At 32.0% G+C, this 25308-nt stretch overlaps 1 protein-coding gene across 6 annotated transcripts in view; it reads left to right on the top strand.

Moving 5' to 3' along the window:
• DACH1 (dachshund family transcription factor 1) overlaps window positions 1–25308 on the top strand; it is a 429239-nt gene that overhangs the window by 322278 nt on the left and 81653 nt on the right. The window contains exon 8 of one of the 6 annotated variants that reach the window (XM_011534940.3): window positions 1556–6534. The exons of the other annotated variants lie outside the window; for them this stretch is intronic. Within the exon in view, the coding sequence (XP_011533242.1) occupies window positions 1556–1674 (119 nt within the window). The 3' untranslated portion in view covers window positions 1675–6534. Of the gene's footprint in view, window positions 1–1555; window positions 6535–25308 lie in introns of those variants that run through there. 6 annotated transcript variants of the gene reach the window in all.

Here is a 25308-nt window from a genome sequence, read left to right as displayed (position 1 = left end):
GCTCCATCTGATCTGCTTGCTGGGTTGTTTAATTAAGTAATCTATCCATAGGACTTGGATTCATCCTAAAGTCACACAGATCAGAGAGGAAGGCAGAGAGGGTGGACAGTGAATCTGGAGGGCCCTGATAAGATTTGTAATTCACCAGGTTGCAAGTTCCATGAATATGTGGTGGGGTCTATATTATTTACAACTGGATCTTCAGTGTCTGTCACAAAGACTATCATACTGCAGTGTGTTGCATAAAAGAGAATGATTTATCTGTTCAATTATCATTTAATATAAGTGATAGCATTTAGAACAATACAATTCCAGGAAACATTTGTGAAAGGACATAGGGAAGTTTTGCAGTCATAATCTCATACATTTAAGTAAAATCACAGTAAATGATTTCTTAACAGCATTATTTTTTTAAGTGAGCAATTTTCTCTATTAATTTATTCATTCAGAAATTTGTTATTACCTGCTATGTGGTAAGCACCACTGTGCTTGTTGCTAAAAAGTTAGAGATGAATGTTAAACAAAAGGACGTAGGACATTGTTGTATTTTCAAACCATACTGAGAAGTTTTTGAATAAAATCAATGATAATGAAGACTAAACCCATATATAGGAGTTTATCTAAACTATAACCTCTATTCAAAGTAGTCATGTGTCTCATGGCTTTGTTTTTCTTTTACATTTTACTGGCAATAAGGAATACGCAGGAAGATTTCCATTCTCTCTCTGCCACACCTACCCAATAGATATAGTTCTTTCTACACCTATGGCTTGTTTGAGAATTGTCATAGGCAGTTGAGTGCTTTAGTGGTAAGGTGGGATGATTCTAGAGAAAGATATGTGGTAAATCACTATCGTATTAAGAGAGAAGGTGTGGTTCTTCTTGGGAAATCTTAGTGGAAATAGCCTATTTAAACCTATGGCTGAGGATAAAATGCCTTTCTGAGTTTTGCTATAGTTGTGTGCTTTAGTGGTAAGGTGGGACAATTCTAGAGAAAGATATGTGGTAAATCACTCTCGTACTAGGAGAGAAGGTGTGGTTCTTCTTGGGGAATCTTAGCAGAAGTAGTCTATTTAAATCTACGGCTAAGGATCAAGTGCCTTTCTTAGTTTCGCTATTATTTACAGATGGGACAGAGACTACGCATGACCTATGTCATAAATTAAGTATTGTAATCAAGGGGAATTTTTTGGAGATGAATGGTGCTACATTCTCCATATCAGTATTGTCCCCCTTATATCTAGAAAAATATCCAAATCAAGGCAGATGGGGAGTTTAAGCAATATATCTACTTACCTCACAAGATTTCAGTTAGATTCCCTATGCATCTCTTAGAAAAGTACTTGGCCCATGGTATCTGATCAAGCATGTTAGTTCTCATTGTCTACTGAGAAATAAATCAGAATTTTAACAATGTCTCTCTTTAATCATAGTAATAGAAACATTATGCGAATCAAGAGTTTTTTGATGTTTTTTCCTCTGAATTGAAATGTATTCATTTGTTCTTGTAGAGTTTATTATTTGTTTTAATCATCTAAATATCTTGATTTTTCAGTTCATATCATCCTTACTAGGATTCAACTTGATTTTACGAAAAACACTGGATTAAATATGCATAAAAGACTCCAATGTGGGATGTGTGCTGATTCCAGTGTATCCTCCAGACATTACTGAGACCAAAAGTGATGCAATTACATTTTCCTTTTGTTGCTTTTGCATTTCTTGTAGTGAACCTAAGTCCTTCAGATCCCAATAAACATACAACCTAAATTCTTCACATACCATAAACACAGACCTTGTTGTTTCCTGACTTAAATCCAGTTTTCAAACTTAGGCAGTGGGTGAAAGGAGAGAGAAGTCTATGCCAATAATATTGGAAAATCTCTTTTATGCCATTAATTTCAGTTCCTCAAGGATCTTCAATCTTTCCTTTCATGAATGTATTTTATTTTGCTGTGATCTTTGTTAGACTAAGAGCTTTCATAGACTTGGAATAATTTCTGATAGTAAAATAGCTGAGCTTTTAATCTCCTGAAAATGCTCACTTATTGTTTAAATTGAATATTACTTTTGGCATCAAATAGCCAAAGTTCTCAGCTTCCTTATATAGAGGTAGACTGGCTTATAAGTTCTTATTTTCTCTATAACATGTGGATGGTACAGTGAGAAACTTTGAAGTTAGACTTTAGATTAGAGTTTATATATTTTCTTTGCAGGAAAATTTGGCTTCCAATAAAATTCATATATGAAACACTCATGTATTTTCAGTGTTCTGGAAATCATGGCAGTGGTTTAAGATTAAACAGACTTTTCTCATTGTTTTAGACAAGCCAAAGAGGAGAGAGATTTATTTATTGTGGAAAAATTTTAAAATAGAAATTTAGAATAATGATAATGACATTATTGATATTTAAAAGTCAGCTATCGACACATGTATTTTTCTCTATCAATTCTTTATAGCTAATAATTTAAAGTTTTTACCATGAAATGAAGAAACAGCCTGTATGATAATAACTCAGATGATTAAGGAATAAGTTATATTTTCATATTGTGATGTAATAAGTTTATCTGAACCACAATGTACTTTTTATACCTGATGTACAACTTTGAACTTTGTTTTTTATTTTATTTTTCAAGTATGTATGTATGTATCTATGTATGTATTTATTTATTTATTTGAGACGGAGTTTCGCTCGTTTCCCAGGCTGGAGTGCAATGGCGCAATCTCAGCTCACTGCAACCTCCACCTCCTGGGTTCAAGAGATTCTCCTCCCTCAGCCTACTAAGTAGCTGGGATTACAGGTGCCCACTGCCATGCCCAGCTAATTTTTTAGTATTTTTAATAGTGAAGGAGTTTCACCATGTTGGTCAGGCTGGTCTCGAACTCCTGACCTCAGGTGATCTGCCTGTCTTGGCTTCTCAAAGTGCTGGGATTACAGGAGTGAGCCATCGTACCCGGCCTGAAATTTGTGAAGATGAAAAAAAAAAAAAAAAAAAAAAACTGGGCAAATATCAGTGACTTTTCCACAAATGTCAATAATTTTTTAAAAAGGACAGCAAGCTAAAGGATGTTAAATGTTTAAAAAGCTCCATAGAATTCTACTGCAACTCATTTTTAGAACCCTTAAAATTAATATAATTGAAATAAATTGCAAAGCAAATTTCACAGGGTATTCTTTTTCTTTAATAACAAGAATTTAACCCTTAACACCATGTAAAAATGTCAGTGTTTTCATTTGATTATGGCAGACTTCTCTTTTCTGACAACAAATGATTCATGTGATATTATCAATAAAAATGTAAAATGCCATATAAATGAACTTATATATGGAAAATGTAACCTATAGAATAAGATATGTATACAAATCGCAAGTCCAGTGTGCTTCTTGTAAAGAAAAAGTTTTATTCAGATCTTAGAGTCAAGCAATGAATTTATTTCTTTAATTGATGTTTTTATAATTGATACTTTTATTGAAGGTGTTTCATAGTTTATTTGCATAATTAAATATTAAGGCAAACTATGCCAGTTTGTTTTATAATCATGATCATTATGTGAAATAAGCTCAAACATACAATAAAGTTTAAAAGCCCTTACAAAAGACATTTCAGGAAACTATAAAAATACTTCTTTGAGTAACTGATACTCATTGTCAAGGAAGCAATATTTCTTTGGTGTTGGTTAGTAAATCTCTTGCACCTAGTTGTAAAGTATTCTGAAGTAAAATTTCTATAGAACCATAAAGAATCAGGTTTTTTAAAAAATAAAATTACATATGAACTTCATTATCCATAAGGAATAGCATCATAATTTGCACTTATTACTTATGAAAATATTTCTAGGATGGTAACGTAATTCATTATTACATAATATTTATTTCTCTCCTACTTGAGAAAAAGTGCTATGTAACATGATAATCTAAATTTAACAATACATAAAATAAAAAACATAGCATTTCCTTTATAATAGGCATATTAATAGGACAAGTATATGTGTTAAGGAAAGGGTTTATGGGTTAATAGATAAACAATCATATATTTTTATGTTGGTGATCATTTAATCAGTGACTTTAAAATTTCTTTCCATTTTAATTTAGGCAATATTATAGAAGTTGAAGTTGAGTTTGTTCAATGTGATATTTTTGTCATAGACTAAATACCCTAAGTCATGAGAGTTACATAAATTAAGATAAAACAAAAACCTACAGGTTGCTGTAATGTTCAGAGCTCTATAAGGTTTCAAAATGATCTTTACTCCATTGTAAGAATTATGATGTCATATGGAATGAAAGCTCCATAAAAAATCTGGATTTTTTGATATGTAGTATCAGTTTCATTTATTAATGATAGTTATGGTGATATATGATTCTGTGATAACCCACATATAATATCCATCCTAAGAATGACATGACCAAAGGCATTTGTAATTATATTTACTTCTGAAAGATTATGGTTTATAGTTAAAACAAAAGAGGCATCCTGTCATTTTCTAAACCCGTTAAATGTGACAGAATCTATTTTTCTGCCAACTTGTGAGGACCAGGCAGAGAGCAAATTTGCTGTGGTCAGCTAAGTGTAACCACTGAGCAGGAAAGTGAATTTAATAATGCATTATTGTTCTTCACTGAAGGTGAACTGTTACAGTGCCTTTGTTATAGCAGACTTTGCCTCTGCTTAGGTTTCCAGATGCTGTGTAGATTACCTGATTAAAATCTCTAATGCATGATAAAATGTACCAGGTATACTTTTATATTAACAGAAATGCATCCATTTTAGGGCCATAATACTGAATCTAATTGGAAACATTTTCCAATTATATTATCTAGTGAATTTATATTATAAATAAATATGATATACAATATAGAATAAATGACATGGAAGCCTAAATTCATAAAGTTTATCTCATGCCAATGATAGATCATTTTATTGATACTGAAATAAAATTTACCATATTTTTGATGCAATTAAGAATATGATCTTTTAAATCATCTTTATTTTGAATGTTATTTTAAAACAAAGTAAAAAATACAAGATACTCTTTAAAATACAACCAGTTCTTTCATGACCGCATTCTTTGTATTGCCCTTCCTTTTCCAGTTCCATCTTTTTTGATATTTTCTCTTACAAATACATTGATCAACCATAGTACTTTCATAAAAGTTTTAGTGCTGATTGAGTTGAAATGACAGGAAATAAATAAAGCTTGGTGTAATTTACTTTCTCTATTTTACCCAAATTTAATTCACTAAAAAATAAAATATGTGTAAAATAGCATCTTAAGAGAATTAGCCAGAAATACAAACTTTATTTAGGAAAGCAGAAATCCTCGGGGAATTTGTGCACATTGATTCCTTTTTTACTGCAAGTTTTTATATTGATTATAGTTCCTATCAGTAACATTTTCAGAGAGTTTATGGATATATTGCAGATTGTGGGCTTCTGTTAACCACTGGTATTATAGGCTCATGGTTGATAATCAAACAGTTAATTTTATAGTTAATTCTGACAGGTTTCTAGAAAGTCTTTCGAAGGAAAGATTTTCTGTAGTCCACAACTGAAAGGGTGCACACAACCTAATCTTTGGTTGTCATTGCTGAACTTTATGGTTAAGAGGCAAAGAAAAGCATTTTTCTGAATATCAAGAGCACCCATCAATGAATATCACTACGGGCCATAGAACATGCAAGTTCAAGAGACAGAAGCAAAACAGGAGTTGACAAAAAATAGTAACAGCTAGACCCGGTGTGAGAGTGTTTTTATACAACAGTGAATGAGAAAATGATTTTCACTATTTCTTGCCTCTTAACAAATAGAGCTGTGTGTATATGGCAGAACCATAACAATTTCAGCTGTTATACATTTGCATTTTGAATATTTAGACATTAAACATTTAAATCTCATTCAAAAGATTAAAAAAATAAAATATAAGGAACTGTGCAACATCGAGGAATGAAAGATGACTTTTATGTGATAAACATAAATATCCAATAACTGCCTAAAATAAACTCTGAAATTACCATGTTGACAATGTTATTTCCTCTTTTTAAAAGGACAAGAAATATGAAACGAAATTGAAATGCAACAAATACATGTTTTAACCTGACCCTGAATCTTGTGTTTATTTTTGTTTTAAATAAAATCTAGAGCTCCGTAGGTAAGATAGGTGCCAGCATTTGAAACTGCAGTCATTTTTAAACTGAGTATGTTTTTATTTTTAAACTAAATGTACTATGCTGTTTGCATTTCCTAAAAATATCCAGAAACTCTGGTAGTTTGTTGTTCAGTGCTCCCCTGGAGAATTCATGTGAAGGTCTAAATATTTTATACTGTTGATTTTATTAAAATGTGAAGATCCATTTTGTGACCGTGTAAATGGAATGTCAGTGTTTCCCTTCGAAGTTCACATTCCCTTGCCTGTGTTCTGCATATTCCTTTTCCTTGCTCAGAATTCTTATATAGGTAAGGAAGACCTTCCAAGGTTTCTTTTGCCACGCTTGCTTCTCCAAACACTACAATAAAATCATTTTGATGAAGTAATTGTGTTTTTTTTTTTTGAGGAAAACAAAACATCAGAAACACTCCCATTATAGAACCACTAGTTGGGATTATCTACCCTAATGTATCTTCTTTGTAATACTCATGTATCACCTCTGTAATCAAATGACGAAATTGAAGATGGCACTGAACATTTCATTCTATGATTGAAGTAATTAGATTTTTAACCTTAGTATTATTTGAATCGGTTCCATTTTCTAGCCTTGAGAAATAATCAATGTGGAATACTTAAAAGAGCAGTGGCCTAGTGTGGGGCATTGAGTTTTAAAGGTCAAAAACAATAGTGTAATGTGAGATGCAGTTTATGAGTGATTGTGTTTGCTGGTCTAGAGAAGTAGAAAAGGGTTCATCGAAAATTCAGAAGCTAGCATATCTGATGCATAAAATGAGTTGGATTTTTGTGGGTGATATTTAAACTCATAGAGAAAATATCTACATGGCTCATGTATTTATGATTTCAGTAGAAAGAACCTTATGAAAAAATACAACAAATATAGTTTTACATTTTTATGTTTGTCTAGTAAACAGAAAATATTCATTGAGCAGCTATTCTGGATCAAGCTAGATAATTCCAACTAGATAATTGGAAATACAGACAACAAGGCACCTCATGGAGTACAATTTTTAATGGAGAAGACAAATTTGAGACAAAATTGAAGTTTAGTGTGATAAATCTAAAAACTACAATATTTTCAAGATGGGATTGAGAAATGACTAATCATGAAGGAGCCTTTGAAGACTTTATTTATTCTCTCTATGGAACTCTAACATTGTTATCATATAGACATTCCTGAAATTTCTTTGCTTTTCCCTACTTCTGCCTTTTTTCCCTTCAATTATTCATTGAGGTCTGAGGACCAGGCACTGTTCTAGCTGCTGGAAGCAAGATGATCAACAAATCCCCTGCTCTCATAAAATTTATATTCTTATCAAAGATATCAGCAATAAGCAAGTAAATGATAAACACAGAAACGAACATATGAACTTATATTAGTTGGTGTTTTGTGTATGACAGATAAGAGACTGGGAAATGTGATAGTAGCTAGGGTAGGCTTTCATACATAGGATGGCACCAAGAGGCTTCTCTGGGCAACATTTGAACTGCGGCTGAATGATAACGCAAAGGCAGTCATGGCAAGTTCTGGTGCAGTGGAGCTGGGGAGACATTTTAGGCAAAGAGACCAGCAGGCTCAAAGCCCTCAAGCAGGATGAAACTGGCATGAATCCTCTTGGCCAGAGCATAAAGATTAAAGCAGACACATGGTAAGATGAATTCAGGGAGGTAGGGAAGTGATCAGAGCCTGGAGATGTTTGCATTCTTTGGTAAGAAGTTTGTATTTTATGAGTATCTTTTGAGGATTTTAACCAGAGGAATGACAGGATTCTAATTGATTTTTGCATTGAAAATATATAATGGTGTGCGGAGCTATAATTAAATAATAAACTAATTAAGAGGCTATTAAAGACCTCTAGGTGAGAAATGATGGTGACTTTGACTAGGGTGTTGGCAATTAAAGTGGAGAGAAATGGATTGATTGAAGTGGTGTTGAGCGGATTTCTTGAGGAATTTGATAATGGGGAAAGGATGATAGAAAGAGAAAGCTCAAGAGTGTCTCCTACATTGAGGTTTGCATGCTTTGTGAAGTCTATCCTTGTCAACCACCTTCAACCCACCATTCAGCTTAGTGCCCCACACAGAATAAACACTCCAAGTTTTTGTTGAATGAATGCATGTCATAATATTTATTGAAGTTGATCTGAGGAATGAAACTTGGCACATAATTTCCATAAATGTAGAATCCTTGGATTTGCAGCCACTGGGCAACAGATGCAATCAAGGCATAAGGAAAAAATGCAATTATTATTGAGACAGTCTGTTTCTTCTCATTATTATGCTCTGTCTCTTAGAGCACACTGCCTCCAGGTCCGTAATCTCCTAAGTATTTACTATTAGCCCTAGGGTTTGAATAGCAAGGATGTGTCAAGAACTTTCACTAGATATGAGATTTCAGCATTCCATAGACTAACACTTTAACCAAAGTATCTCTACCTAGATCTTTGGGATAAAATTGCGCTTGAGAAAGATTTCTCCTGATAAAACTTTTTGAAAGCAATTATTTTGAGTGTAAATTTTAGTTGTTTTGAATTTTGATGTTTCTGAATACATTTATCAATAAGATACAGTTATTTAAATTAGATTTAATTGTTCTAATTTCTTATTTCAAGAGATGATAAATTTAGCTGGATCAGTATTGTTAAATTTTTGACTAGAATAAAGTTTAGGAGGAACAAATCAATACATTTCTCTTAATCATTTACTATCAAAATGAAATAAAAGTAAATAGTTTTATCAAATAAAACAAATATGAGAATTAATCATTTAAAGATAGTAATACCGTAATTATTATGTTTAACCAATTTCTACGTCAAGTTTGGTGGGAAATTTTCAGTCATTATTATCCAAATAAACTACTCTATGTACTTAAGTGCATGTTTTTACTTTGATTTAGTCAACTTGGAAGACAATGTTAAACTATTGTTCAAAACATTTTTAAAAAAAATCATATAAGATAGCTTATTGAATCTTCAAAATATTTATACAAATATTTCCAGTTGTTATAGAGCTTGTTCTAGGTATTCTGGGAAATTATCAAAAAGATATAAAATCAAGATTGGTAAATAAACTATGCGCACGAACAAGCTAAGTAATACAAGAGGACACTATAAATATTTGTATGGAAAATAAATTCAGCATCAAAGCAGTGTCTTGGGGGGAAAAAAATGCGCCTGACTTTATTTAAACCTTTTTTAACCCTTTGAACTGCTGAAGGAATTTACCATATTTGTTAATTAAGGAATATTTACCATGTTATTTTTATATGAGATTTGCTAAGTCTGTCTCCTTATTTCATGACCAAATTTGTGATAATCACAATCACTCTTTATTTTTGAGTTCTTGGTTAACAATAACATTCCAAATTTTAAATGAAAATCTTAATGATACATTATTTGGAAATTCTTATACATGCTAAAAGCCAGTTGAACATTTTAAATTTTGTAAAGAAAATTCACATGATATACACCGATTAGTATGTCTAATAACATCTAAAAATGCAACATCTATAAATATGCTTCTTTAAGGTTTTTCTAATACCAAACCTTAATCAGTATTATACATTATAAATTGTATAATACAGTGTTAATATACTGATAATGGTAAGCTTGGTTTTCTAAGTATTATTTTTCTATCTTAAAAATTAAATAAATTATGTAAAACATTTAATATTTATTAAAATAGTTTTATGAAACATAGAAAAACTCTGATTTGTTAAGTTATTATTCTGGGAGTTAAAGAGTCAGATAGTCACTAGATCTTTTTCCACGTGCTTTTAGCTTGTTCCTCACCTCTTTCATATGAAAATAAAATTACATTCTTCTAAAATTTCAGCAGCACTATTTGCATAGAACACTCATTTAGCTCTTATAAACAAGGACAAAATTAAGTGCACAGTTTTACTTGAATGGGTACATTTAGTGATAAATTTCAACTTGTTTTTCGTTCAATCATCCATGCACCACTAAAGATGAGTTATAACTTTATTATTTTTATGATATTGTATGACAATGGAATTTAGTTATTATTGTTTTAAATTTTACCTCTTATTCATTTTTTTCTCCACACATCAGAAGAGTTCTTAATGTAAGTATTAAAGATTTAAAATTATATTTTATATTTAATTTTAAAATCTAGATACTGTTTCTTCATTTCTTTTCCTTCCCCATAGTTACAATTGCTCACTTTGGGCATCATCAAAACATTGTCTACTCTTAAAAACTAAAAGTTCTGGTGTTGATGTTTTGCTTAATTTTAGAAGTAGAACTTCAATATGATCAATATGTTTTTACTTTTCATAATGGTTTATGTAGATATTATTAAAGTAATAAATATTTCTCAATGATTTCAAATCATTAACAAAGTAAATATGCAATTAAATTAACGAGCATAATTTAATATTAAAGACAATTAACTATTTTTTAAATATTTTTGTCCTTTTATTGTTGCTATTGATTTTTGAATTTTTCCTTCGATTTATGTATTTCATGTTTAGTATACCTTCAGTCTATCAAGAAAGTAAACAATAATAAAAATGTAAATCAACATAAAAAATATTGCCTCACATTGAGAGAACATTTCAAAGACTTTTTATCAGTTGTTCATTTTCCCCTGTCAGATGTTAAAATCTTTTACTACCCCTCATATTGCACAGAAATGCTGGTCTACTGATAGTGTCTTCTTGTAGCTAAGCTGTGAAGAAGTCAAAATTTCATTTTGTAAAGGCAGTTATCACGAGGAGTGCTGCAGGCCTAGGTTATTGGTCCTTATTTAGCCGACCCAGAGATAAGATGTCTAATTTCCTGACCAAGCTTCTCATGTGTTTATGTAAGTCTTTCTCTCTCTGTGCCACTGGGGTGGGGTGGAGAAAAAGAGAAATGACCCTTGTTGAAATACCAATAAAAAATACATACTGATGCTATTCCTCAGTACTCTTTTATTCTGGATACCTAGCTATCAATACAGTAAAGTGTGTGTGTGTGTGTGTGTGTTTGTGTGTGTGACACACACTCAGAGAGAGAGAGAGAATGAGACAGAGAGATAGACAGAGAGAGACAGAGACAAAGAGAAAGCAAGAAAGGAAGACCTGATAAGTACATTCCCATAGAGATTTCATTGAACTAAAGAGAGAGTGAAAATATCAAGCTGTTTTATAGGAAAATGTAGAAAAGGTACTGAAGAAAAGACCCTTAAATAATTTGATGAGATTATTTTGAATGGCATATTAGAATTTAATATAGGCCGGAAATAACTGTGGTCATGACTTTAAAGTAATATCAACATCATAGTATTTAAGCCTAATTTAAGCCACTGAGGAAAATTAGGCAAATAAGTAACAGCCAAGCTTGGAGTTTTGTCCTAAAAGATATAAATTTCACTGTCACGTTTCCTTTCCTTTTCTCATGCTGATCTTTAGATTGAAAATACGAGGAATTACTTATGAAACTTTTTTATTTCCTTGAAAGCTGACTTCCAAATGAAAAATAGGGAAATGGAGAAAATATTTCTCTAAAAAAATTTCTCTAATTGCAATTAATGGAAAATATAGGAAAAAAATCTTATACGCTTTGAAGAGCTTTTCTCTGACTCACAGTCTTCATTGTCTTTTCCTAATAATTTTTTAAAAGAATGTTATTGATATCTCTCCTGATTTGTTTTTTTTTTAAGTCTTAAAACAATTTTCCTGACCAGTTATTCTAAAAGTAAAGTGGTTTATCGGTACAAGCAGGTAAAACCTGAATAGTTGTCTCTAATCAGATAAAAATATCTCCTACATGTTTCTTGGATTCAATTGTGATTAACTTTTCTCAGTATAATGTATCCCATAATTAGAAAAATATATTCTTATCATTATTTAAAGTTAGGCCTAGCCTTGTATATTTATTAACTAGAAAATTTTATTTGATTCATAAAAATAAAACTAACAGTGAAATATATTTATATATGAGTTGATATAATCACAACTACCCCAATTATTTTAAGATGCTAAAACAAATGCAAACCAGAAGAGGTTATTAAAGCTGTAGTCATAGATTATTTAGATAGAAGCATTTTTTTCCTAAATCTATTTCCCTAAAGGGGAAGGGAGCTGAAGTATACTGGCTGAAAGCCTACTAGGTACCAGGATCCTTTAAACATGTGAACACATTAGCTAGGTTTACGCCTTTCAGTTCTCCCCAATATCTCTTTCTTCATCAGTAGCATACATTTTTCATAATTAACATAATTAAGGTATATATTTATTCATTTTTATTTTCATAAATATTTTCCAGTTACTTTTACTTTGGTATTGGAGAGCCCTTTCTAAATTCCTTTTGGTGGAACGGGAGTTAGTAAATAGTAAATTTCCAAAAGTGTCAAATGAATATCTGAAAAATTAAAATGCATTTAATTTCATAAATATTTCTCTTTACTCTTTTTTCCCTCTCCCTAGTATTTCTGAAATTCAACTAAATTCTTAAACAGATAGGAAATATATCTTTTTCTTAAACTCTCTTGAAAGGTTAGATTTTAACAATATAGTCTAATAATGCAATGTATTTGAAAACCCCAAAGAACTATTGCCAGCTAAAATTATCTTTTCAAAATGATGGAAATCTAAGGATGTAACAAGTGTCCATAATGGAACCAAGGACTTTATCATTATTTGGTTATCAGAGACCTTAGAAAAAGTAGTTCACTAATATCATTAGCTTATATTCTGCTTTCCAAATGAAAGAGAGAGTGAACATTGTAATAGTAAGAAGTTATTGAATGCCTAATATGCACAAGACACAGTATAGTATGCACATATATATATACACACATACATGCACATGTATATACACACACATATATATGTGATTATTCCTCAAAAGAATGATATAAAAATATAATATTTATTTTAAGAATGAGGTCTAAATACTCAATGTGATCGAACAGGCATTCCAAAGAGGTCTTTGACCTGTGAGCCTGTGTTTTTCATTTTGCTACCCTGTTTAGAGAACAACACTTCCGAAAACAAACAGAAAATGACAACATTAATAACAAAATTACTCAGAGCCCTTAAAAATCTTACTTCTATTTCCCAGTAATGTCATCTCCACAGATGTGTATTGGGAACTGATTTTTTTATCTATTCCTTTGCTTGCATGTTTTAATATTTCAGGAGTTAACAGGCCAAGTCCTATTTCTGAGTTCATTAAAAAAAATTGATAAGCTCATTATGCAAATTAAATTTATTAGACAGAGTTTTACTTTGTGCATCTCATATGAGATTATAAAGTTTCAGAATTCATTCTAGAGGGCCTCATCCATAGTTGTACACCTCTTAGAGATTTGCCATTTGAGTTTTTCTTCAATTCTCATATACTTATTCAAGGACAAATATCTCTTCTTTATTTATAAAGTTATGAAGACCTCCTTAGACCTTTCTTCAATAGGTGCATGTGAACACAATGTATTTGAAATTTGGTTATGTTCTGAAATAGTTTGAATGAACTTATATTTATACATGCATGATAAATATAAATAATTTAATAAGACATAAAATCCAAATAAATTTAGTCATTGTTAAACTAAATAACTCTTCCCGAAAAGTTAGAGGAATACTCTCCTCCTAATAAGATATGTGTAAATGTTCATATTGACAGAATTCCTGTTGTTTAGTATCTAACAAGAGGAAGCTATCTACATAAATTATAAAATTTTTCAGAATTATCTCACTTTTGATATAGTTATATATATGTTTTTCTAACTAACTTTCCACCACCTGCCTTCTCCATCTGTCCTCCATCCCTTACGTTGATCATAAGAAGGGAAGAAAAATAAGCCGGGAGATGATACTCTAAATCCAACTTAGAAATTATCTTTAGAATTCTTTCTTTCTTTTACTTTATTTGGAAGGAAATAAAATGGAATAAAATAAAAATTATTTTTACAGATGAAAGAAATCTGAGGTCTTTACCTTTCTACACTTATTCAATATGCATTTATTAAATATTAATTATTTGACATGATGTCAAAGTATTAGTTTCTAATATTAAGGATATGATTATCTTAATTCACAAGATGATCGGCAAATGTAATTTGCTTGTCTTTTTTTTCCTTTTGCCTTTATGAAAGAATTAGAGGTCTGTAAATTACCAAGAGAAATGAGATGTGAAACTGAGAAGGCAAGTCAAGTAGGCATGTTAGAGGCAACTGACTACTTTAGGCAGGGCTGCAAGCTCACTTCTTCCACTATGGGTTCTCGGCCAACCCTTTTTCCTTTTCTAAAAAGAACAATGTTGTAATCTCGTTTAAAAGTTCAAATAACTTTTTTTTTTAAATTAGTGTCTTTGTCCTTGTCCAAATAATGTAATGTAACTTTCTTTTAACAAAGAATAAGATAAAATGTTTTAAAATAATCATTACCATGTGAGTTAGTAAACTGTAGAACAGACAGCAAAGAGTACACAAGAACAATTATGAAAACATGCTTTCTCTTTCTGCAAGTGCAATGTGACCTCTGAATTGATATATAGCAATAAGAGAGCCTTATTTGTGGTTCCATGCTCTTCTAGTAAAACAAGTAACATTAAATTTTCTCTAGTGTTCCAAGTCATATATGTCCACAAAGCATTACATATTTTCAATGATGGTGTTGTGTTACTCATTCATACTTTTAGTACTTCATTTTCTATCTTCAGTGTTCAATTATTTTGTGTTTATTTCATATGGCATGAAAGGTCTTTTAATTTGATTTAGATAAGACCTTTCAAAAAGAGAAAAAGCCAACATAATGCAAATATCATTTTTTAACTGCTACCTAACTTGACAAAAAAGATCTATTTATGTAAGTATTTTTCTTTATCAATTAAAGTTTATTAATTTGACTTTCATTGCTTACACTCTAATGGCCATTTTCCTAAAAATACTATTTCCCAAAATGTTTGTTTTCTACAGTATCAGTTACTTTGGATCTTATCTTTGGCAAAAATAAAAATAAAATATTCACAAACAACATGGAGGTTGTTTGAAACTTTATCATCTTGATTAATGGTTTAAGGATGGTGAGTTGTTGAGTTTGCACTTAAAAGATGAATGGTGATATACAGATGCAACTGGATTATTCCATTTGACAAAATTATATATGAAAAAGTTATCTGAAATCTTTAGTGAATATTCTCCGAAGTTATTTTCCAACAGCATAGCACAAGAGAGAGAATAGAGGCCTGGTGGCAGGTGAACCTGGGTCCACATTGCAGTTGCCACATCTACGATTTGTATAAATATAGACCAATAAAAACTACCCAAATCAGCTGGGCGCAGTGGCTCACTGTAATCCCAGCACTTTGGGAGACCGAGGCAAGTGGATTTTGAGGTCAAGAGATGGAGACCATCGTTGCTAACATGGTGAAACCCCATTTCTACTAAAAATACAAAAAATAGCTGGGCGTGGTGTCAAGCGCCCACAGTCCCAGCTACTCAGGAGGCTGAGGCAGGAGAATCACTTGAACCAGGGAGGTGGAGGTTGCAGTGAGCCGAGATCGCACCACTGCACTCCAGGCTGGGTGACACAGCGAGATTCTGCCTCAAAAAAAAAAAAAAAAAAAAACCCAAATCACAATATTGTTTGATGTACTATGTGAAATCACATAACAGTAACATTAATACAACTTCTGGCACATAAGAAGTGCTTTATTTGCATTTCCCTTACCATGTGTTACCATACTCCCAGTTTCACTTTTGGTAAATATATACATTTCTATTATCTGTTATCAATTAAAGGTCCCGTCTTAATGCATAGTTGCCAATTAACAAAATTCACTAGATGTGAGATTTAAGAACATTCTGTTTTAAATATTCTCTAATATTAATACCATTAGTAATGATACTAATTTGCCTATTTTTAATATTAATATTAATAGCTACCTTTTATAGAACATTTAGTGTGAGACAGTACTCTGTTTTGTAGGTAGGTTATCTCCAATCTTCAAATGACTTGCAAGGTGGAAGTTATTATCTTTAGTTTCCAGGTGAGGTTCTGAAAGGTTAAATGACTTGTCTAGGTGGACACAACTATCATGAAGGGAAACTGATGTTAAAATCTGTTTTTCCGGCCCGGTGGATCACGAGGTCAGGAGATCGAGACCATCTTGGCTAACAGGGTGAAACGCCGTCTCTACTAAAAATAGAAAGAAACATTAGCCGGGCGTGGTGGCAGGCGCCTGTAGTCCCAGCTACTCGGGAGGCTGAGGCAGGAGAATGGCGTGAACCCGGGAGGCGGAGCTTGAAGTGAGCCGAAATCACGCCACTGCACTCCAGCCTGGGCGACAGAGCGAGACTCAGTCTCAAAAAAAAAAAAAAAAAAAAGAAAATCTGTTTTTCCGTTTCTAAAATCTGCTTTTTCCTGAAGCAGTGTTATTCCTTGAAGAAAACATATATTCCATAGTTGATGAAATTAACCTGTAAATAGGTGAATGTATTGATTTGAATTCTAAACTGCAGTCTCATCTATAGAAACTTTATTTTTTACACTTGATATATTCCCCGGTACGATCATTGAATTATTCTAAACAACTTTTTCTTGCCCTTATGTCTGAATGAATGGTATATACGGTGTGTCATCTTTGAAAAACACAACAACATATTTCTTTCCTTCTATACTAAATCTGCTTGAAAACTAATTGAAAATGTTGGATTATTCTTTCTCATTTTTATCAGATTTGTAGATTATCTTACATTCACAAAAATCTCATGGACAAACATATCTACATTTGCATACCTTAATCATTGTTTCCCATAACATTGTTATCATCTTGAACTGTTATATGGTTATATGCCTAAGAGTTAAGGGATTCTTTAAAAAAAAAAGTGTTAACAAATTTACCAAGGACAGTTCAAAGACCTTTGTCATTTTTTTTTTATTAGTAACTTGCAGTTTCATGTTGTTTGTTTAGTTTTTACTACCTTTTTCATCCAGAAAAATAAGTAAAAGCCAATATAGCTTTTGAAATGGAAAAATTGTTTCAAATCATTGGCAAAGCTTAATGACTTCTGACTGCTGAGATATGTTAATTTAAGCCAGACCAAATGTTCCTCAGCTGCAAATATTTGGTGTTGTTCACTGGGAACTGGCAAGATTTATGAGGGCCCAGTGGCAAAGACTCTGTGCTCATATCCCTCTCATTGTAATTGTTTCCCATGTTCAATGATGAAGGACCGATACGGAAGAAAATACCAACTTTTCAGGGGTGGTCACTTAGACTCAAATAAGATGCTATTTCACATTTGATTTACTATGGCATCCTCATGCCATCTTAGTTATCAAAGCCCTTTCAACTTTTCTACTCCAATTTTGGGAAAATACAATCTGTTACTATCCAAGTTGCTCCGAAGTTGCAACGCAAAGAAGGAAATGACTTACATTTGGCAATTTGTAACTATAAGATATGCAATGGTAATTTAAAAGTTATATGAGTAATGTGTAGTACAAATATAAGTATAATATGCTTATATTATTTTTAACAGCATTTTAACCTCTTTTTATAAATTAGTTGTGATGCATTCAAGAATAACCAAAGATATTTTAATTTAAATTAAATTAATAATTTAATCATTATTTACTAATTTAAATAATTGAAATAATATTAAATTGATCTTGCAAACATATTGAAGGCAACTCACATTCTGCAAAGACAAAAAGTAATGCTGTTAAATACACATGAAAATTTATATTTATGTGATAATCATTTACTGTTTAGAAGTATTAATAATTGCAAGTGTTTTTAATACCTCTTAAAGATTAGATATTAATAACAGAAATAATTCCAAATGAATATAATATACAAAGTTTAAGCTTTCCAACGAAGAACTGAGCCTAGGGCACATTCTGACACTGAAGGAGACAGCTCAGGAAGACTTCACTGAGAAGAAAAGCAAGTCTTAAATGTCTAACAATAATTCAGCAAATAGCTTTGTAATACTAGTGCAGACCACCTTGCTCTTACATAACAGTAAAGTTTATTGTAAGCATTCTTTGTATTAGTTATTATACATACATATATATACCTATATATATATATATATATACACACACACATATGTATGTATGATCATGGCAGAACAATTCTTACTTCAAAATGATTGCATTTAAAACTAAGTCATAATCAAACCTGTATATAGTGCTTATTATATACCAGATGCAAGTTTAAAGTTACATGCACTAATTCTCTGAGTTCAAAAATGACTTTTGGAAGTAGGCACTATTATTATTTTTCCCATTTTACAGATTAAGAAATAGATACCAGAAGATATTTGTAGTCAGTATGTGTGCTCTTAACCAGAATCCTTTATGACTTTTCAACTTCCGTTGTCTTTTAGGAAATAGGTCAACAATTATTTGCTTCCATTACAATATGATAAGAAAATGGAACTGCCAGTGAAGACAGAAAAGACCTTACATGTTTATTCAAATGCTTTGTTACATACCCTGAATTTTTATCCATATAAAGGCACAGCTGGTAAAATATATGGTATTTGTAAAAGGATGAATGTATTTGCATTTTGCATGTAATATCACAAGACTCTATGTATCGTTAAAAGAGTCAGTCTCTGCATTATTCCATATTGAATTCCTTAATTATGTATCTCTGTATAATAAAAGGAAAAGTGCTGACAGAATGCAGTAGAAAAATCTAAATTCTTTTCTTGCAATAAATGTGACACAGATTGTATAAAGCAATATTTTTGCCCTTGAAATGTTTAGAAGCATTGACATTCTGTCCACTAAATTGTCAGCTTGTCTTTAAGGTTAGAGCTTCTAAGTTCTTAGCATTTAACACACTGACATTGATCTCTTGGTTCTTCAAACTTGTATATCAGCAGCAGTCTCGACTTGATTTTGAAGCAGAGCATTAAAAATGTTATCCTTGATGGTGATATCTCATAATTTCCATCTATTATGCTAGGATTTTTGAATCAAGTTTCCAATCTTTAAGCTTCATTCCAAAAATACTATTAATCTTAAAGTTTTTGATAAGCTTAATGTTAGAAAATGTCTTAGTTATGAAGAAACAGTGAAGTAGATAATAAAATACAAATCTAAAAGCTAAAGTAACTAATCGGTTCCAGCCTGACAAATACTTAAAGAAACCATTTGAATAAGAATGTCCACAACACTTATTATTTTGTTTTGAGGACTTGGGTAGTCCTCATGTCTTCAATTACTTTCCCAAGATTATGGGAATATTTCCAAGAAAAAATAGGCATACACATACTCTTTATTTGTTAATTTTGAATTTGTGTCTGTGGGGAAAATAATTTATATTGTTTAAAATAATATTTATTAATTCTTGACAATAACGGGACTTTCCAGATAATGTTTTCATTAATCCATTAGTTGGTTAAAGAATCACAAAAAGAAATGTCAGTGGGATTTTTTTAAAAAAGATTTCTTTGATTCTCTCCACCCACAGGCTCTGAGCAAGGCAGTAAATAGTCCATTTTTGTTAATGAAGCTTCCCTCATACAGCTGGGATTGTTTAATATTTTACGAGTGTTACTTTGTTTTGCTCTCAACGATCTCAGGCAGTTAAGGATTTATGAATCGTGTTTTTCTCAGCCCATCTGCGGTTTCCTATCTTCCCTGGCCTTGAGAATATGTTTAAATTTATTAAAGCGAAGCAAAGGCTCATTATTTCAAAGGAGAGCCAAAGTGACACAGTGAATTGGTTATTAATGGAAAGGCACTGCCATAGGGCGATTGAAATTTAATGATATCCTACAAGAAAAAAATGAGGGTGTCACTTTCCAAAAAGTCATGCTAAATGCCAGCCTTTTTAAGGTCCTGCCGCTAATTTTATGCCTGCGCACAGTAATGTTTTCAAAAGCGTTTAGGAAACACGGACCAGTGACTGTACTGATTATCCTTTTCACCTTCGCGCCTGTTCCAAATGGGTTTGTGCAGTGAGCGATTTAATCTCTAAATATAGGGAACGTTAAAAAAAAAATAACATTGCTGTTTTTCACAAGCTAAGGGCCTTTTGCAATCCTCCGGAGATGGACTTGCAAATATGCTATCTCCATATGCTCTCAATAAGCTCTCAAACTGGCGGATCACCAAAAAAGAAAAAAAGCAATCCCTTCATTTTTTTTATTTCTGTCATTCAAAAGATGTTTTAATGTCATAGTCTACAAACTATATTTATTAATACTCAGCTAACATTCAGCTTGAGCTACAAAATGGGATTTGACGTAATTTAAGTTTTCCTTATTTAACTTAGGCTCTTCATTGAATTACAGTATCGAAAGACCAAAATGCCACTTCATCTCGCCCCATTTAATGCAAACCAGAGATGCCTATCTATTAAAAAGCACACTTTGTTGATATATTGAATCATTCTTTTTAGAGTTACTGACTCAGTGATTTCCTGTATTAATTGAAATATCCATAAATTATTTTTAAAGTTATCTCAAATTCCTCTAGAAAAAATTGTTGACATGATAATGTAGCAATCATGCTTCAGGACATTATTTGCCATACAGATTTCTGAAAGCCTGGTTTTCATTTTACAGCTTTTGCTTTATTTGAATTATTCTACAAGTGTAATCACTGTGGTCCTAATGTTTTTCTCTGTATCTCTTTCAAATATGTTATTGAAATTTGAAGAGAATCGCCAGGAAATGGCACAAGTTAAATTTAGGGTTTTAGTTCAATTAGACTTGTGATTCAGCAATTTAAGCAATGTGTTAATTACATGAAGTAAATACGAACATTTTTAATGCAAAAACAGCATTGGATCTAGTTTTAATGCATCTTTACTTGCTGAATATAAACTAAAATGTAAATGGTGCATTTGACATGCACTGTGGTAACATATAATTTTCACATACTGCATATGGTAAAATTAAATTGTCTACTGGTGGCAAACAGTTTTTGGAAGTAGAATAGAATGAGTTCTTTTTCCTGTTTATGACAAAACACGTTATTCGAGAATTTATGAAATTAATTTTTAAAAATTAAATTTACACTCAATTCAGAATTACATTAATAAGATTTTATAACTTGTGATCACACATTGGGGAACTTTTCATTTATTCTAGGTCAGAGTGTGAATCTGAATAGATGAGAATAATGTTCAAATCTAAGAGACAGTAATGCATCTTGTAGGAGAAAAATCACTTGGAAGAGGGTGTCAAGGACCCACAGTTTAAATTTCTCTAGGCCCTTCCTCTCTTTTTACAGTAAACTTATCATCCTATAATCTTCCTAACAAAGACATAAACACTTTGGCTACATATATTTTGATTGTTTCACGACAGTTTACTGGAGGCTGAGCAATGACAGATTTCTTCATTGTCTTTTAGCCAAAATTTGTCCTTTAAGTCATTTTTGTTGACTGCCCCTTTTAGCAGCTCACCTCACAATGAGAGAGAAGACAATTAATGGGAGGGTGATTTATCACTGCCAAAAACTGTCAAGGACTTCAGTTGTAGCTGGAGAAAAAGCAATTTCACATTATGGCATTTCATTCTGAATACATTGTATTTACAGCACACAGTTTTATTTTCAGAGCCTATTATCAGGTGAAACAGTTGCATCTGAAATGTTGTTTGTGACATAGGTGACCTGTTAGGATTTGATAAGTATTTACGCCAGAGCACAAGGGGCTCACACATCTGCTGTTGGCAGAAGCAATGGAAAAAAATAACCTGGAAATGAGGCGTTTGATTTTTCTGGTTCCTACACTCGAGCATCTGTTGCTATAATTAAGTGGCATTCAGTAATTGCAGAGCAATGGTGAAATAAACATATGCATTCTTGCCAGCTTTTAGGATTTGGTGTCCTTACAGTAGGAGAGACAAGCAAAGTAACTTCAGTAAGAACAAAAGGTTTTGTAGCAAAGTTTAACAATTAACTTTTCGATAAAAGAGAGAAAAGAATTTCACATTAGAAAACAATTTCATCAAAAAGCGAAATAGTATACAGTTTTAGAAGAAGGAAGTCCCAGAAACATTCAACCCTTGGAATAAACTTTTCATCTGTATGGATGTCGAAATGGGTTAAACTGTCATTCCTGAATGTTATATTACAGGAGAGTAAAAGAATAATAAAAATATAGTTATTACTCATATTAATGGTATTGTGCCATGAAATAGAGATTATAGTGAAATCTGTTTAATAAACTGAAGGTTGTATTTGGTGAGTTATAAGAAATCAACATGTATGCACTGGAAGTGATCCTCCCTCCTCAGCCTCCAGAGTAGCAGGGACTACAGGTGCTCACCACTGCGCTTGGTTTGGAACTTGACTTTTAATAGCAGTATGATGGATTATTTGGGGCGAAAGTAGTGTTCTCATCAAAATAGACAGAAAGCGATTCTCAAGGTAGGGAGGTGCGGCGTGGTGGTAGGAAGGGCTGCAGCAGAACCTCAGGTTTTTTTGATTTATAATCCACAAGTCTCAACCCTCTTCCCCCAGTACTTCTGAGATCTGAATCTCAATGTGGAGGGAAGAGTTTGAAAAAGCTACCCAGTGTCTTCTGAGGTGTTCTCATTGCCACTCACCCCACATTGCAGAGAATGTTTTGCCTGTGAAACAAATAATAGTTTATATTAGCAAAACTTGAAAGCTCTCTGCTTATGAATACTACATCCACTTACTAAAAACAATTCTTTGATTAATATGCTTTATGTTCCATTAGTTATTCAGAACAATCCAGATTCTTCCACAAACAGAGTAGAACAATTTGGATTTGGTTGTTATACTGTAGTAGTTTGCAGTTTCCTGGAAATGTCACATGACAAATTCCATTGTGCTATAAATAGTTCCACAACAATGACTTTTGAAGTGAAGAGAAAATGTGAAATTCAAACTCTATTGAAATCGAAGTTTTAGCATATATTGTTAAAGTTGAATAGTTTTCATTATTATTAGTATGGACAGTATGGTGTTTAAGTAGATAAAGGTACAGTTACAAAGGTGAGGCTCTTCGTCTTTAAACCATTTGAGAGGGAACCATGAAGCTTAAGTATGGTGTAGAGGCTGACCGCGTAGGCGATTTGGCATTTTTATGTGATGCTCTGGGATCAGGTGATTACTTTACTTTCTGGGTGAAGAAAAGACATGAGGAATCACCCATGAAGAGATGAGAATGATAGATTATGGCTTCATAGTGTCAAAAAATGTTGGACATCTGCTTAGAGGAAACCATATAGGAATAACAGTTACCTTGCCTTTGAAAGACTGAAGAATCATTTTGAAGTTCCTTTTTTCTTTCCTCCAGGAGGTGGTTTTAAAATGTGTTTTAAAATAGGTTTAAAATTTTGGATTCCCATTCAAGCAGTATTGAATAGTAGTGAGATTTAGACCTATGTTAAACCTACATATATTTATACATCTCTATCTACATCCATATCCATATTCATATGTGTATATTTTTAAGATGACAAAATCATAACCTATTATAAAGGGGACAGAAAGAAAAATATGGTCCCTGCCCTCCATTTGCTTTCAAAAGGTATAGTATTAATAGAAATCTATTACATGCACACACTATATGCCAAATATTATTCTAAATACTAGAAGTGTAATAACTTAGTCCTCACAGCAACTTACAAGACAGCTGCATTACTGTTATCTCCATTTTACAAATGAAGATAATAAGACAGAGTCCAAGGTCATGTGGCTAATAGATAGCAGTCAGGTCTGGGAATTGAATTCCAGCAGTTTGGCTCCAGAGCCCATGCTCTTTGCCACAATGCTATTCACTTAAAATAATGATGAATACAGACATGTTTTCTGGACCTGTAGAGTTTAGAGCTTAAAAGTGATGTAGCTTAAATGTATGTATGCTTTATAAGTGGGAAATATAGTATATATGCTTACAAATTATCTTTTTAGCCTACATATCTGCCTACTAACTTACCTTCTCACCTAACTACCATAATACTATGATATTATTGGAATTAACACTATGTTAATATTGATTTTAAATTTCCCTTTCTTCTTTCTCCAATGCAAGGATCTTTGTACTTTCATATACTTCCTGATATCAGGCACACAGGCTGCTATTGTTAATTCAATTTCCTTTTAAGTCTAACTATCTCCCTTGGATGAACTATTCCTTGATTTTATATGTAATTGTCTATAATTGTATAACATAGTTTTTTTGTGTGTATAGTTCAATCTATACTGTCTATACTTAAACTATTTATTTTGATTGTAATCAATAATTTGTCCCTAGCATTTTATTTTTTGGTTTACATACTAGATTCCTGGATCCTTATTAACTTGTCCTTCTAAACTTACATATGATTATCTCCTTTAATTTTTTTCTCAAAAGTCTTCATTATTTCACCTTCCCTAATTCTTGTTTAGAGTTTTGGGGACAAGCTTCAATTTATTCTATATTTAATCTGGATAGTCTAAAATAATTGCAATAGCATTTTACAAAAATCCTGTGGATTGAACTGTTTCTTCATTTCCATGAGGTTTGATGCTCTGGCAAGAGTATGGCATTATTACACCTAATTCTTACCATAATCTTCTGAAGATGGTACCATTTTATCTCTGTTTTAATGATGAGGAAATCTAGATCAATAATGGGATACAACTGCCCAAGACTCAGAGTTTAAGAATGACAAAACATGGAAGAAACCCAAATTTGACTTCAACTAGTGCTTCTTCTCTCTAAGCTGCCTTATACTCCAGTGGCTTTGGACTTGTTTTGTTTCCATTTGATGCTAAAATTATTTTATATATGGAAATTTTAGAAAATATAAGCAATGGCAATGTGGTGGTGACCATATAAATTTGCTTGTTTAATGGTGTCTTGATTCCTGTTCAAAGGCTTAAGCCTGCACAATATATGTGCTATGTTAGTTAGGATATATATATATATATATATATATACTACTTTGGTTTGGACACAAACATCTAAACAATAAATGATCTGAAACATTTGTGGTGAAGTGTTATTTGGTGCTCAGAATTATTTCATTTATTAATTTTCAGTGTGATTGGTGTTTCTTTAAAGAAAACTTTAGAATTCATTTTGTACTTATGTTGTATTTAGATCAGTTTATTAATAAAAACATTAAAAATCTTAACAATTATATTTACCTAAGTAAAATTACTGTAAACAGGAGAGCATAATGGTTGAAAACATGAGCTCTGG

Source organism: Homo sapiens, chromosome 13, assembly GCF_000001405.40.
Source record: "Homo sapiens chromosome 13, GRCh38.p14 Primary Assembly".
Taxonomy (NCBI): domain Eukaryota; kingdom Metazoa; phylum Chordata; class Mammalia; order Primates; family Hominidae; genus Homo; species Homo sapiens.
This window is presented reverse-complemented; position numbering and strand designations above follow the sequence as displayed.